Source organism: Homo sapiens, chromosome 7 (genome assembly GCF_000001405.40).
Source record: "Homo sapiens chromosome 7, GRCh38.p14 Primary Assembly".
Taxonomy (NCBI): Eukaryota; Metazoa; Chordata; class Mammalia; order Primates; family Hominidae; genus Homo; species Homo sapiens.
This window is the reverse complement of record NC_000007.14, coordinates 103221973-103234983: the sequence shown is the minus strand read 5'-3', so window position 1 is coordinate 103234983 and position 13011 is coordinate 103221973. Positions and strand designations below refer to the sequence as shown.

At 33.8% G+C, this 13011-nt stretch overlaps 1 pseudogene across 2 annotated transcripts in view; it reads left to right on the top strand.

The window, feature by feature from the left end:
- DPY19L2P2 (DPY19L2 pseudogene 2) overlaps positions 1-13011 on the top strand; it is a 105454-nt pseudogene that overhangs the window by 45483 nt on the left and 46960 nt on the right. For both annotated transcript variants that reach the window (NR_027768.1, NR_003561.2), the window contains 3 exons: positions 258-335; positions 1098-1184; positions 9820-9879. The product of NR_027768.1 is annotated as a DPY19L2 pseudogene 2, transcript variant 1 (transcript). The remainder of the gene's footprint in view (positions 1-257; positions 336-1097; positions 1185-9819; positions 9880-13011) is intronic.

Here is a 13011-nt window from a genome sequence, read left to right as displayed (position 1 = left end):
AGATTGCCATCTATCTTTTTAATTCCTCATTTGCTTTGTTAATAGTCTGTGGCTTTTATACATATTTTAAAAATGTTTTTATTTATATATTTATATTTTTCCTAGCCATTCTAGTTCTTAGTGGGAAGGTTGGTTCAAATTCCTTTGCTTACCATTATTAGAACTGTAGCCCTCCTCTTATATTTACTTTGCCTGTGAATAGTAAAGTGTTAATTTTCTATACTTTTTTTCACTTTTGCTTTTTTATATTATTTCAGATAGCATCATTATTTCCCATGTATGTTGTGGGATACATTGAACCAAGCAAATTTCAGAAGATCATTTATATGAACATGGTAACATTTTTAATATATATAAGTCAAATATTAAGATAGGTTCTCAGAGTTTATAAAATCGAAGTGATTCTGTTTTATAGGGTACTTCCTCTTTGGTAATATTTAATACATATGGTATTGGTGATATCCAGAAGGAAAACTGGAAATGTATATTATAGATGACATATTATAACAGATTATTCTTTCAACTGGACTGTAGATGTGTTTTATTCTCTAGAACTTATATTTTTATGTTTTACTTATTATTATTACTACTTTTAAAACTGCCTTTTCTTTCTCAGACATGAGATTTTTAGCATTTTGCCTGAATATGACACTCTAACTGAAATTTTATATTCTTGCGATTTTGTTTTTGGCTTAGGTCCCAAACATAGCTTCCTTAGAAACATAAAAAGTTAGTAAAGCTCCATAAATAATAGAAGTCCTGAAGTCTAACAAAAATATGATTAGTAAAACTGGTGTTTATAACTAAGTCTTTCTTATTATATTACTCCATTGTTAAAACAATAGAAATCATAGACTTATTTTTCATTGTTCCAAGTAGCAGATGGAGAAAAAGTTAAATTCTGCCAGATAGAGTTTATGGTCTTGAATTTTCATACTTAGAATCTAGCAGTGACTTGAAGTTCTATTATCATTTGGCCAAGGGTCATTCATCTTTATGCAAATAAATTTGCATTAGAAATGGCTATATACCTACAAAATATGCATTATGCCAATATATGTAATGACCATAAAATGTATTTTTTTCATTTTTTTCAGATTTCAGTTACCCTTAGTTTCATTTTGATGTTTGGAAATTCAATGTACTTATCTTCTTATTATTCTTCATCTTTGTTAATGACATGGGTAAGTGTTTAGTTCATAAAGTTGGGTTTTTTTAAACTGCCAAATAGCATGTTTTCCTGTCTAAAACAGGTATAAGAGAATAAATAGGCCCTTTCCTGATTATCACTCAACATGACAAAATTCTTCCCAAGCAAAGCTTTTTATTTATCTTATCCTTGAAAAATATTATAGTAGGAAGTTTTTCTTTTTAAGACAGTGCCCAAGTAAATATTTAAAAATGATCATAAAGTAATAAGACTTACTTTAATCATATCCCATTTTATGGTAAAATTGACTTCTTTTCTCCTAAGTCACTTGAGGAGGTTAAATACTCATTGCAGTGACACTGCCATTGCCCAGAACATTTTTGGAACTCCTCTGAGTTTCCTTCACAGACTATGGCACATTCTTTAGTATGTCTTGCCTTTCAAGAGTGGATTTGATTTTTGGAAATGACCAAAATTTTGTGAATATTTTGTGTGATTGGGCTGGGTAATACAGATCTTGCTCAAACGATGGTGTGACAGTAAAGTCATAAGACTGATTATTTTGCACCTATAACTAAATTATTTCTGAAGGCAGTTTAGAAAGTGTAGTTCCAAACTACTTTGAGCGATGGCAAGATAATTAGAATAAGTGTGCAGTCTCCTCACGGGAACTACATGGAATGACACTCTTTTGGATATGTGTTTGGAAGGGTGGTTTAGTAAGTCAGTTCTATTACATTGTAGTTATACTTCTGATATCTATAAGCCAGAACCTAGAATATTCTCCTGTACCTCCCATCTCCACACTGATCAGAAATGATACCAACTACGGTAATGCCAAAATATAGCACTTTTCCATGTATGGTGCAGTGATTTAATCTTTTGGGATTGCCCTTATGTTTTAACATTTTTGCTTTCCATATCCTTTTTCCCTCATAGTAATCCCTCCTCTTTCTCTCCCAGAAAAAATGCTCTTTCTTTCCAACATTTTGTCAAACTATTTCACCATTACAGAGTAGAGGACTCCTAATAGTGTGCTCATCTACCTCTTTTAATGAAAACTTTTTTTTATTTTGAAATATAGTACAGATAAAACTGCATAAAGCAAATGTTTTGTGTGCTGACTTAGTGCTGGCTAATACTGATGAGTACAATGTCCCCTTCGTGTCTGCAGGGATTGATTCCAGGACACCCCCAACCCCTGTGGATACTAAAATCTGCAGATGTTCAAGTTTCTTATATAAAATGGTGTGTTATTTGCATATAATCTATGCACATCTTCCTATATACTTTAAATCATCTCTAGATTACTTATAACGTCTAATGCAATATAAATACTATGCAAATAGTTGTATACTGTATTGTTTTTTCATTTGTACTTTTTAAACTGTTGTATTATTATTATTTCAAATATTTTCTATCTGCTGTTGGTTGAATCTGCAGCAACTGGAACCCATGGATGTGGAGGGCTGACTGTGTTATGTATTATGTGGCAAACATTCTTAAACTACCATTATATCAAAATTGTAACTTTCTAAATGAGTGTAGAAGCCTCCATGTGACCTGTCCCAAAGCACTCTCTTGTACTGCCCTAAAACGATAATGACTATCTTGACTGCTGTGATAGTAACTTTCCAGCATCCCTTTATAGTTTCATCACTTAAGTTTCTCTTTTTAGCTACAAGTTTCCTGCATATCTGCCTGGTTTTATCCTCATGAAATTTATTTGTTGAAGAACCACAGTCATAGAACATGTGGAGGATTTCATGGTCCAGATTTTGCTTTTTGAGTTCTTGTGGTGTAGCTAAGCATGTTTCTTTGTCTCATGGTATAGCTTGATATATTAGAAATTGGATCTGAAACTTGGATTGCTTCAGGCTTGATCACTTTTGCAAGTCTTTAGTATTGTTCTTTCATTAAAAGGCACATGATGTCTCTCTTCATGGTACTAGCCTTCAGTGCCTTATGCTGGATCTGTTAATTCATTAGGGATTGCAAAGTGGTCACGTTCTAATCTGTCATCTGAAGTTCATTTAGGAGAAGTAAAGTAAATGTTGATTTACCTCTTTATTTGCAAGTTTTAAAAATAATGAATTGATTCCCTGTCATCTTCCAAATGTGGGCTCTTTGGGCTGTGTATGTGTGTGTTTAGGTTTCATTAGGAACATAGGGATTTAAGCATTTTTGATGTATTTCAAGTTAATTGAAGTTAATATCTTTACTCATTCTCAGATTGTTTCTTTGTTGACCAGGGGAGCCTCTTTAGGTTTCTCCTAAGTTCTCTGACATGACACTGGTGGTCTGATAGCATACTTGTGTCATGTATGACAAGTTTTTCCAGGTCTCTCTTGTGTACTCCTGCCCAAAACCTGGAGGAAGCCATTCCTGCAAGGCACCCTTCTTGCCTTTATTGGGGAAATCGTGTTTTAAGACTGCAGTCTGGGACCCAAGGATGCTCATTGCTACTGAGTAGGTCATTGTTTCTAGGCCTTATTAGTGGGCAGAGCTAGGAAATATTATAGGTTGCAGGCTCTCTCTTTTTCTTTAAAAATCTACCATGAAAATATGTGTGTGTGCATGTGTGTGTGTGCATGCATTTATGGTAAACTAGCTCACAAGTTCTGATGGGTATTTCCAAATCAAATTCAAGAATATAGGGTTTTTACTTAACTCTTTCTATCCTGTATTTGTTTTTTTTGTTTCTCTTGGGTCTCAAGAAGCCAGGGGATGATAGAATATCATATATCCATTTGCCTTCTCCCAAAGTGTATGCATGAGAATTGCTATACTGCACCACGCACATGATTATGAGAAATAAAGACTTTTTTGCATATCCTTCTTTCATTCTCTTCACCCATTTTTTTTAACTAATTCTGTATCTATATTGTCAGAACATAGAGTATTGCATACTGTACTTTCTGCCTTATCAACCTTATTTCATGTTTTTATGTGAGTAAATATGCATTTATTTATCACCAGTCTTTATGTTGTTATCTCCTAGTTATCTTGGTTATTTTAGTCTTGTTCTACAAGAGAATTCCTTCAATTCTGATGTGTTTGTCACAGTTTGTTTTGTCGCCTTTTACTTGAAAGTGAAGTTGGCTCTATGTAAAATTCTTGTCTCTTTTATTTTTACTTTTTCTTTCTTTTCTTCTTTTTTTTTTTTTTTTTTGAGACGGAGTTTCGCTCTTGTTGCCCAGGCTGGAGTGCAATGGTGCAGTCTTGGCTCACTGCAACCTCCAACTCCTGGGTTCAAGAGATTCTCTTGCCTCAGCCTCCCGTGTAGCTGGGATTACAGGCGCCTGCCACCACGCCCAGCTAATTTTTGTATTTTTAGTAGAGACGGGGTGTCACCATGTTGGCCAGGCTGGTCTCGAACTCCTGACCTCAGGTGATCTGCCCGCCTCTGCCTCCCAAGTGCTGGGATTACAGGTGTGAGCCACCACACCCGGCTGTCTCTTTTATTTTTTGCTTTGAGTACTTGTTTTACTTCTGTCCAAAAGGGTTGCTATTAAAAGTGTTACAAGTTTTGATACGTTATAAACGTATCACTTTCTCTTGAATACTTTTATTTCTTTTTTTATTTCTAAAAGTTTCTTCTCTTCACCTTTTATAGCTCTTAAGGCATTATTGTTGTGTTCATTTCCTCATATTCCTTCTAGTTTTTTATGTCTGAAATTATTTTTGTTTTATTTCAAATTATTTGATTTCTGTCAGCTCATTTCTCAGTTTTTCTGATTTTGATTTATGTCATTCTTTCACATATTTTAGTATTTTTAAATATCTTATTTTAAATGGCTCATTTTGAAATGTAAGTTTTGTTTAATTGTTCAGTCTTTCATCCTTCAGTAACTGTGTTAGCTATAGGATTTTTCAGAGAAGCCCTTTATCAGGTTAAAGAAGTTCCCTTCTGTTCAGCTTGCTGAGTTTTTTCAAAAATGAATTTTGAAGATATATCATATAGTTTCTCTTTTCTGTTTTGTTAATGTGCTGCATTATATTGGTTGATTTTCAAATGTTATAGCATCTTTGCATTCCTTGAATAGACCTCACTTTGGTCATGCTGTTTTATTATTTTTTGTTGAATACAGCTTTCTAAAATTGTACTTACGATTTTGCACCTAAGTGCATGACAATAATTGGTTCATAGTTTTCTTGTGACATCTTTGTCTTTTTTGGTATCATGGCAATGCTGGCCTCATAAAATGAGTTAAGAAGTGTTCCCTCTTCTCCAGTTTTCTGAAGAATTTGTGTAAAATCCTTAGGATTTCTTCCCTAAATATTTGGTAGAATTTACCAGTGAAACCATCTAGGACTTTCTTTGTAGGAATGTTTTTAACTACAAGTTCCATTTCATTAATAAGGTATAAGGCTATTCGTGTTATCCATTTCCTCTTGAGTGAACTTTTGTTGTATCTTTCAAGGAATTTTTTTATTTTATTTACGATGTCAAATTCATTGACAAAGGCATAATATTTTATTTCTTTTATGTATCTATAGTATCTGTAGTGATAGTTCCTCTTTCATTCCTGGTATTAGATGTTTGTGTTCTATTTTTTTTTCTCATCAGTCTGGTTAGAGGTATATCAATTTTATTAATTTTCTCAAGGAACCAGCTTTTGTTTTCATTGATTTGCTCTACTGTTTCATTGATTTCTACTCAGTCTTTGTTACCTCATTTCTTTTGCTTACTTTGGGTTTTGCTCTGCTTTTTTTCTAGTCTTTTTCTTTTTTTTAAAGGTATAAAGCAAGGTCATTGACTTGAGACCTTTCCTGTTTTTTGTTTTTTGTTTTTAAACACAGGTGTTTAGTGCTATAAACTTTTCTCAAAGTACTGCTTTATCAACATCCCACATATTTTGATAAAGTACATTTTTAAATTTATTTCATGTTATTGTCATACATTTTACTTAAACATGTGATATAGAAATCTCAATAAATTTTTGTTTTTATTTAAACAGTAAATTACCTTTTAAAAGTATTTAAAATTTTTAAAATGTTATATATTTACCCTGTAGTTACCATTTTCGGTGCCTTTTACTTGTGTACAGCCAGATTGACCTACTGTATTCTTGCTGTCTGAAAGACCTCCTTTAACGTTTCCTTTAGTGCAAATCACCTGGTCATGAAGTCTTTATTTTGCCTTCGTTTTCGAAAGGTATGTTTCCTGGGTGTAGAATTGCAGGTTAACAGCACTTTTCTTTAAGAATTTAAAAGATGCTGCTTGACTTGTCTTGTTGTTTGCATTTTTTTTCTTATGAAATCTGTTGACATCTCTACGCTTTTGTCTATAAATAATATGTTACTTCTCTAGCTATTCCTAGCTAGAAATAAGATTTTCTCTTTACCACTGATTTTGAGCAGTTTGTTTATATAATGTGCCTTACTATAGCTTTCTTTATGTTTCTTGTATTTAGGATTAATTGAAATTCTTAGATCTTTAGGTTTACAATTTTTATCAAATTTGGAAAAATTTTGGCCATTATTTCTTCAAATATTTTTCTGCCTCCCCACCTCACTTTCATTTAGGGACTCTCATTACATGTATATTGGCCTGCTTGAAATTGTTCAGTGGTTCATGGAGCCTATGTTTATTTTTGTTATTTATTTAATTTTGGATAGTTACTATTGCTGTGTCTTCAAGAGTTCACTAGTTGTTTTTCTGCAGTATCTAACCTGTTGTTAATCACATCCAGTGTATTTCTCTTTTAAGTCACTGTAGTTTTCATATCTAAAAGTTCATTTTGGATCTTTGAAGTATTTTTGTGTCTCTAGTTAACATGTTCTTTCTCTGTTACCACTTCTTCACCATGTGTAATACAGTTATACTAACTGCCTCAGTGCCTCCACCTGCTAATTCTGTCATCTGTGTCAGTTTCAATTAATTGTTTCTTCTTCTCATATCGGGGTTGTGTTTTCTTAAGTGTTTGCATGCTTGGCAATGTTTACTTTGATGCCAGGCTTTGTGACTTTTACCTTGTTAGCTGCTGGATTATTTTCTTATTCCTATAGATATTCTTGAGCTTTTTTCTGTGATGCAGTTAAGCCACTTGAACATAGGCTGATCTTTTCAGGTCTTGCTTTTAAGATTTGTTAGCTGGAATTAAAGTACTAGTTAGTTTATGGCTAATATTGCTGCTCTCTGAAGCAAACTCTTCTGTGTAGACTACCCGATGTGCCCTTTGGCTGCACTATTTTATATTCCCACCAACAGTGCATAAGCATTCCAATTTTTCTACATTTTTGCGAAGACTTGTTACTTCTGGTTTAGTTTTGGTTTGTTTTGTTTTATAATGGCCATCCTAACAGGTTTGAGGTGGTATCTCATTGTGGTTTTGATTTACATTTCCCTGATGATAAGTGATGTTGAACATCATTTTAAATACCTGTTGGACATTTGTATTTATTCTTTGGAGAAATGTTTATTCAAGTGCTTTGCTCATTTTTAAAAGAAATATTTGTGTGTGTGTGTGTGTGTGTGTGTGTGTGTGTGTGTGTGTGTGTGTGTTTTGCTATATTCATCAGAGATACTGGCCTGTAGTTTTCTTGTATCTTTTTCTGGATTTGGTATCAGAGTAATGCTGGCCTCATAAAATGTGTATAGAAGTGTTCTCTTCAGTTATTTGGAAGAGCTTGAGAAGGATTGGTGTGAATTCTTATTTAAATGTTTCATAGAATTCTCCAGTGAAGCCATCTGGTTCGAGGTTTTCCTTTGTTGAGAAAATTTTTATTACTGATTTAATCTCCTTATTAGTTATAGATCTGTTGAGTTTTTTTGTGTTTTCATAATTTACTCTTGGTAGGTTGTATGTTTCTAGAAATTTATTTCTTATAAGTTATCTAATTTGTTGGCATATAATTGTTCATAGTTGTCTCTATAATCTATTTTGCTTGGTATTTTAGTTTTTTAGGGTGAGAAAGTAAATGTGGTTCCTGTTATACAAACTTGGACAGAAGCAGAAGTTTCATTCTGATTGATTTTAGTTACTTTGGGTGAAACATTACCATGTTTCAATGAGGAAGATATATATAAAATTATACTCAGAAAATACTTCCCACTATTCCTTCCAGCACATTCTCTCCACCTTTCTTTTCACCCTGTTACTGCCTATTCCCTGTAGGTAAGAAATCTCATTAGTTTTCTGGTTGACCCATTTAGTTGGCTTTTTGAAGTACTAATAACTGTTACATGTATATTTTTTATATCTCCTCTTCTTATATTAAAGATAGCCTTTTCCCCTTTTTTTTTTTTTTTTCATTTAACAGCCTATCCTGGATATCAGTTCATAGAGATTTTCCTCATTCTTTCTGGTAGCTTCCTAGTGTTCTACTGTGGATTTACTGTAATTCAGTCACTCTCCTATGTCTGGGCATTTAGGTTGTTGCCTAACTTTTGCATTTACAAACAATGTTGCAATGAATAATCTGATACATTTATATTTTCCTATTGGAAGTTTAGTAATCCTGGCTCACTTTGGGAATTTCTTCACCAACTAAATGATAAAAAATTGGAATCTAAGTCTAAATAATACGCAAGTCGAAGAATTCAGTTTCTCATGAGCGCACTGTTTTCACCCCAAACTTGGGAATAAACAAATAACCTATCAACTTGTAGAGATGGTAGGTGAAGTATTCTTAGTCACTGTGTGTCTTAGTCAGTTTGGGCTGTTATAACAAAAGTACCACAGACAGGATGGCTTAAACAACAGGAATTTATTTCTCAGAGTTCTGGAGGCTGAGCAGTTCAGAAATCAAGGTGCCAGCTGATTTGGTTCTTGGTGAAAGCCCTTTTTGTGGTTTGCAGACAGAAGCCTTTTTGCTGTGTCCTCACATGGTAGAGAGAGACATCAACTCTCTAGTTTTTGTAATACGGGCACACTAATCCCATTCATGAGGGTTTCACCCTCATGACTCAATTACTTCCCAGAGGCCCACCCTCCAAGCACTATCACACTGGGGATTAAAGATTCAGTCTGTGAATTTGAGGTGGACACAAATACTCAGTTCATAGCACTGCAGGTATAGTTTTGAGGACCCTAGCTTTATGTATTAGTCTCAATTCCAACTTCTTACCTTGCATAGACCCAAGGCCTCTTCTGCTGCCCTCCCCTTACAATACAAGCCTATAGTTGGAACCTTATTCTACAGGCCTTTATAAAGACTGCCAGGGGTGGTGCTTCTCTGCTGATTAATACTGTATTTTTTAAAAATAATCTTTTTTCTAGCATCGGAGAAGTTCTCTTTCACATGAGTATAAATTTTTTAAACATGTTTAAATATTTTATTCGGCAGTTTGGAGAGGAAGGATTTTCATGTTAGTTTAGTTCACTAACGTTGCTGGATAACTGACATACAGACTTGCATGGATGCTCTCATCTGCTCACATACCATTTATCTTTGTAGAGGAATTATCCTGCAGAAAATGGCCAGGGTATTTAAGTGAGGAAATAACGAGGCAACTTTTTGACACACAAACCATTTAACTCTCACCTCAAGGAAATTTGCCAAAATTTGTCCAAAATTTGAAAAATCAACAGTTAAGGAGGAAAATGGCTGGTGATAGCTGAGATGGAACAGGGTGGCTATATAATTTTTGAAATGTACCATTTATACAAAATATAAATGTTAATTGTGTTGAATTGTTTCATTTTCCCTTATGTGCATTTTAGGCAATAATTCTAAAGAGAAATGAAATTCAAAAACTGGGAGTATCTAAACTCAACTGCTGGGTAAGATTCAATGTTTTTAATGCAGTTTATTTAAATTCTACTTTTTATTTCTATAAACTGAACACAGTTAATATGCTTTAAAATGCTAATGATTTATAATTAATAAATAGCTACTGTCTTAAAAATAGTTACTATCTAAGGTAGATAGATATGTAAGGAAATAGTCCTTCGCAAGGACTAGAAATCATTTTCAAGAAGTTAGCTCACATATTTCACAACTAACTTTCAGGCCACTCTTCCTTTGTGTTTCATTCTGCTATATCCATACAGCCTTGCTTTTTAAAATGTGTTTGTCTTGAGTTTCTCTCTTTAGCTTCAGTTAACCTTCCCTTCACCATAACTCAAGTTTGTAGTTTCTTGCCAGCTTTCTCCTTTTCTTTCCTCTGCATCTATCCATCATCTGTCTCTCTTTCCTTCTGCTTCCAACTTTAGACTCTATTACTTTTGTCCTTTTAACATTTTCCTTACAGTCTCCCAGCCCCTTCTAATTTGAATTCAGCCACTACCTAATTTTTGCTTGGCTTCTTCCCAAATATGCAGATGGATGGCCCATATTACCTCCATGGTTTCCTAGTAAAATAAGTTATTAGGCAGGTAGTGCAACTCCTAAATTCTCTTAATATGAGACAGACAATATTCTTTTTCTCTGGTCTGTGATGTTCTTCTATTAAAAAATAAACCCTGGGCCACACACACTGGCTCACGCCTATAATCACAGCACTTTGGGAGGCCAACGTGGACAGAGAGCTTCAGCCCAGGAGTTTGAGACCAGCCTGGGCAACATGGCAAAACCCTGTCTCTACAAAAAATAGAAAAACTAGTTGGGCATGGTGGCATGAGCCTGTGATCCCAACTACTCAGGAGGCTGAGGTAGGAGGATCGCTTGAGCCCTGGAAGGTTACAGTGAGCCATGATTACCCCATTGCACTCCACCCTGGGTGACAGAAGAAATGAACTGTATGTTTACATGTTATATATTGAAAGGATAAGTCTGGAAATGTTACAAGTTGAGGAGGTAGGTTCCTACACACAATACAAGAGAACAAAATGGAAGGAGTTGCTATTTTCTCCTTGTTGGAGGCATTCTCCCATCCTTTATGGTGAAAATATAGAAAGATTTGTCCACTAAGTTGTTGAATGAATGGCATGATGCTTTTTTTGTCTTTTTATTATTCTTTATTGGTTCTACCAATTTGACTCTTTACCCAGGCCACCTGTCCTTAGGCATGCAGGCTTTGTAGAAATTCACATATCGACATTACACTTCTAATATATAATTCTTTCACTTCAGAAAAATTGAGCAATTTAATAAAAGAAGGTCAGAATTTCAGTTGCAAACTATTGAAAAATGACAATAAATAGTAGTGTGTCCATAAACATCAAAAAAAATTCTGCCAAGGCTGCACTCAAAGGAAAATTAACTGTCTTCATTTTCAACAACATTTTCAATAGTAGACTGGAAAGAACATGAATTGACTAAGTTTTAAAATCAAGAATATCAAAGAAACAAAAAATCTAAGGAGGGAAAAGTTGAGATTTAACCAAATGTTCAGCTTACATGTTTTTTAAGCCTCCCTAGGTATTATCTTCTGTTTTTAGCTCTGTATATCTTTGGCAAAAATAAGTATTTATTACACACAACCTGAACAAGGAAGGTATTTTTAGATCTAAGTGATTCATTTTAGAGTTTAACGTCAATAGAAGCAAATTCACTGTTTAATGGGAGACGCCAATTTTTGGTGACAAAGTAATTATTGAATTGAGCGCATGCTGAAATTTACAAAATTTACAAAGGGGAACTTTGTGTGCACCATGAGGCATGAGAATCATTACAAGAAGGGAAATGAAACCTCCAAGATAATCTAAAGCTCAGTACTAAGGCCAGATAAGGATAGTATGAGAAAGGATATTCTTACTCATGAGCATAGATTCAAAATTTCACCTAGATTAAAAACATTCCTTACACACAAAAGTGTAAAAGATTAGTAACTCAAGAGCAGCCATATATCTGATAAAGATAATCCACTTGTGATAAATCTGGCTTATTCTAGGAATCCAAAGATGTTTCTGGAAAATCCAAAAATGTAAATTATCATACTAAGAGATTAAAAGAGAAAAATGTCTTATGATCATCCCATTAGATGCAGAAAATAAAATTGATATAATTGAACACCCATTTATAATGAAAACATTTAACACAATATAAATAACAGTTTTCTCAACCCAGTAAAATTCTTCAGCAGTCATTAGTCTTACCGATAATAAGGTATTTAGAGTGTTCTGTTTAAAATCAATATAAAGATAAATGTGCTTTTTCACATTTTATTAAAGGTCCAAAGTAGCCTAGTAATGCAAGAAAAGTAAATAATAGGAAAAGGAAAGAAACAGAAAGAAGCAAAATTTATTATAGTATCATATTTACCTAGAAAGAATAAAATGATTGACAGACAAATTATTAGAAATTAGAAGAATTCAATACCATGGCTAGATATAAGTTTAATATTAAAAAATCAATTGCATTTCTATTCTTTGGCAACACACAGAAAACATATTTTTTTAAATATGCCTTATGTATTAGAAAAATGCATAGGATCTGAATGAATCTAACAAAATACATACAGTATTTGTATGGGGAAATTTATTTTAAAATTTCTAAGATATAAATAGAAAAATAAAACACATTTATATGTATGAAGTTTCATGTAATTCAGTTCTCCCCAGTTGATGTTCAGATTCAAAGCAATTTCAGCAAGATTGTCTTGCAGGTCACTTTTCACTAAATGATGCTGGAATAGTCTATCTATATGAGAAAAACCGTATGTTATACACAAATATCAGTTCCAGGCCTAGCCATTTTGAATGTTCCTAAGCTGGATGTCTTTTTGACATGTCTTTATAAATTTATAATGCTCCAGGCTTTTCTTGATTTTCCTTGTGCTAGCCTTGGAATCAGCCATTTTTCCAAGGAGCCCTGCTTCCTTTTAGAGGAGAATGGTATTTGGAAACCAAGACCTGAGTGGTATGTGCACTCATTACTGCCAGTGTGTCCTTGTTTCTAGGCCCTTTCACTGCACGTATGTGCACACGTGTGTGTGTATGAAATCATGATTTCATAACTATAGCTCCAATCCC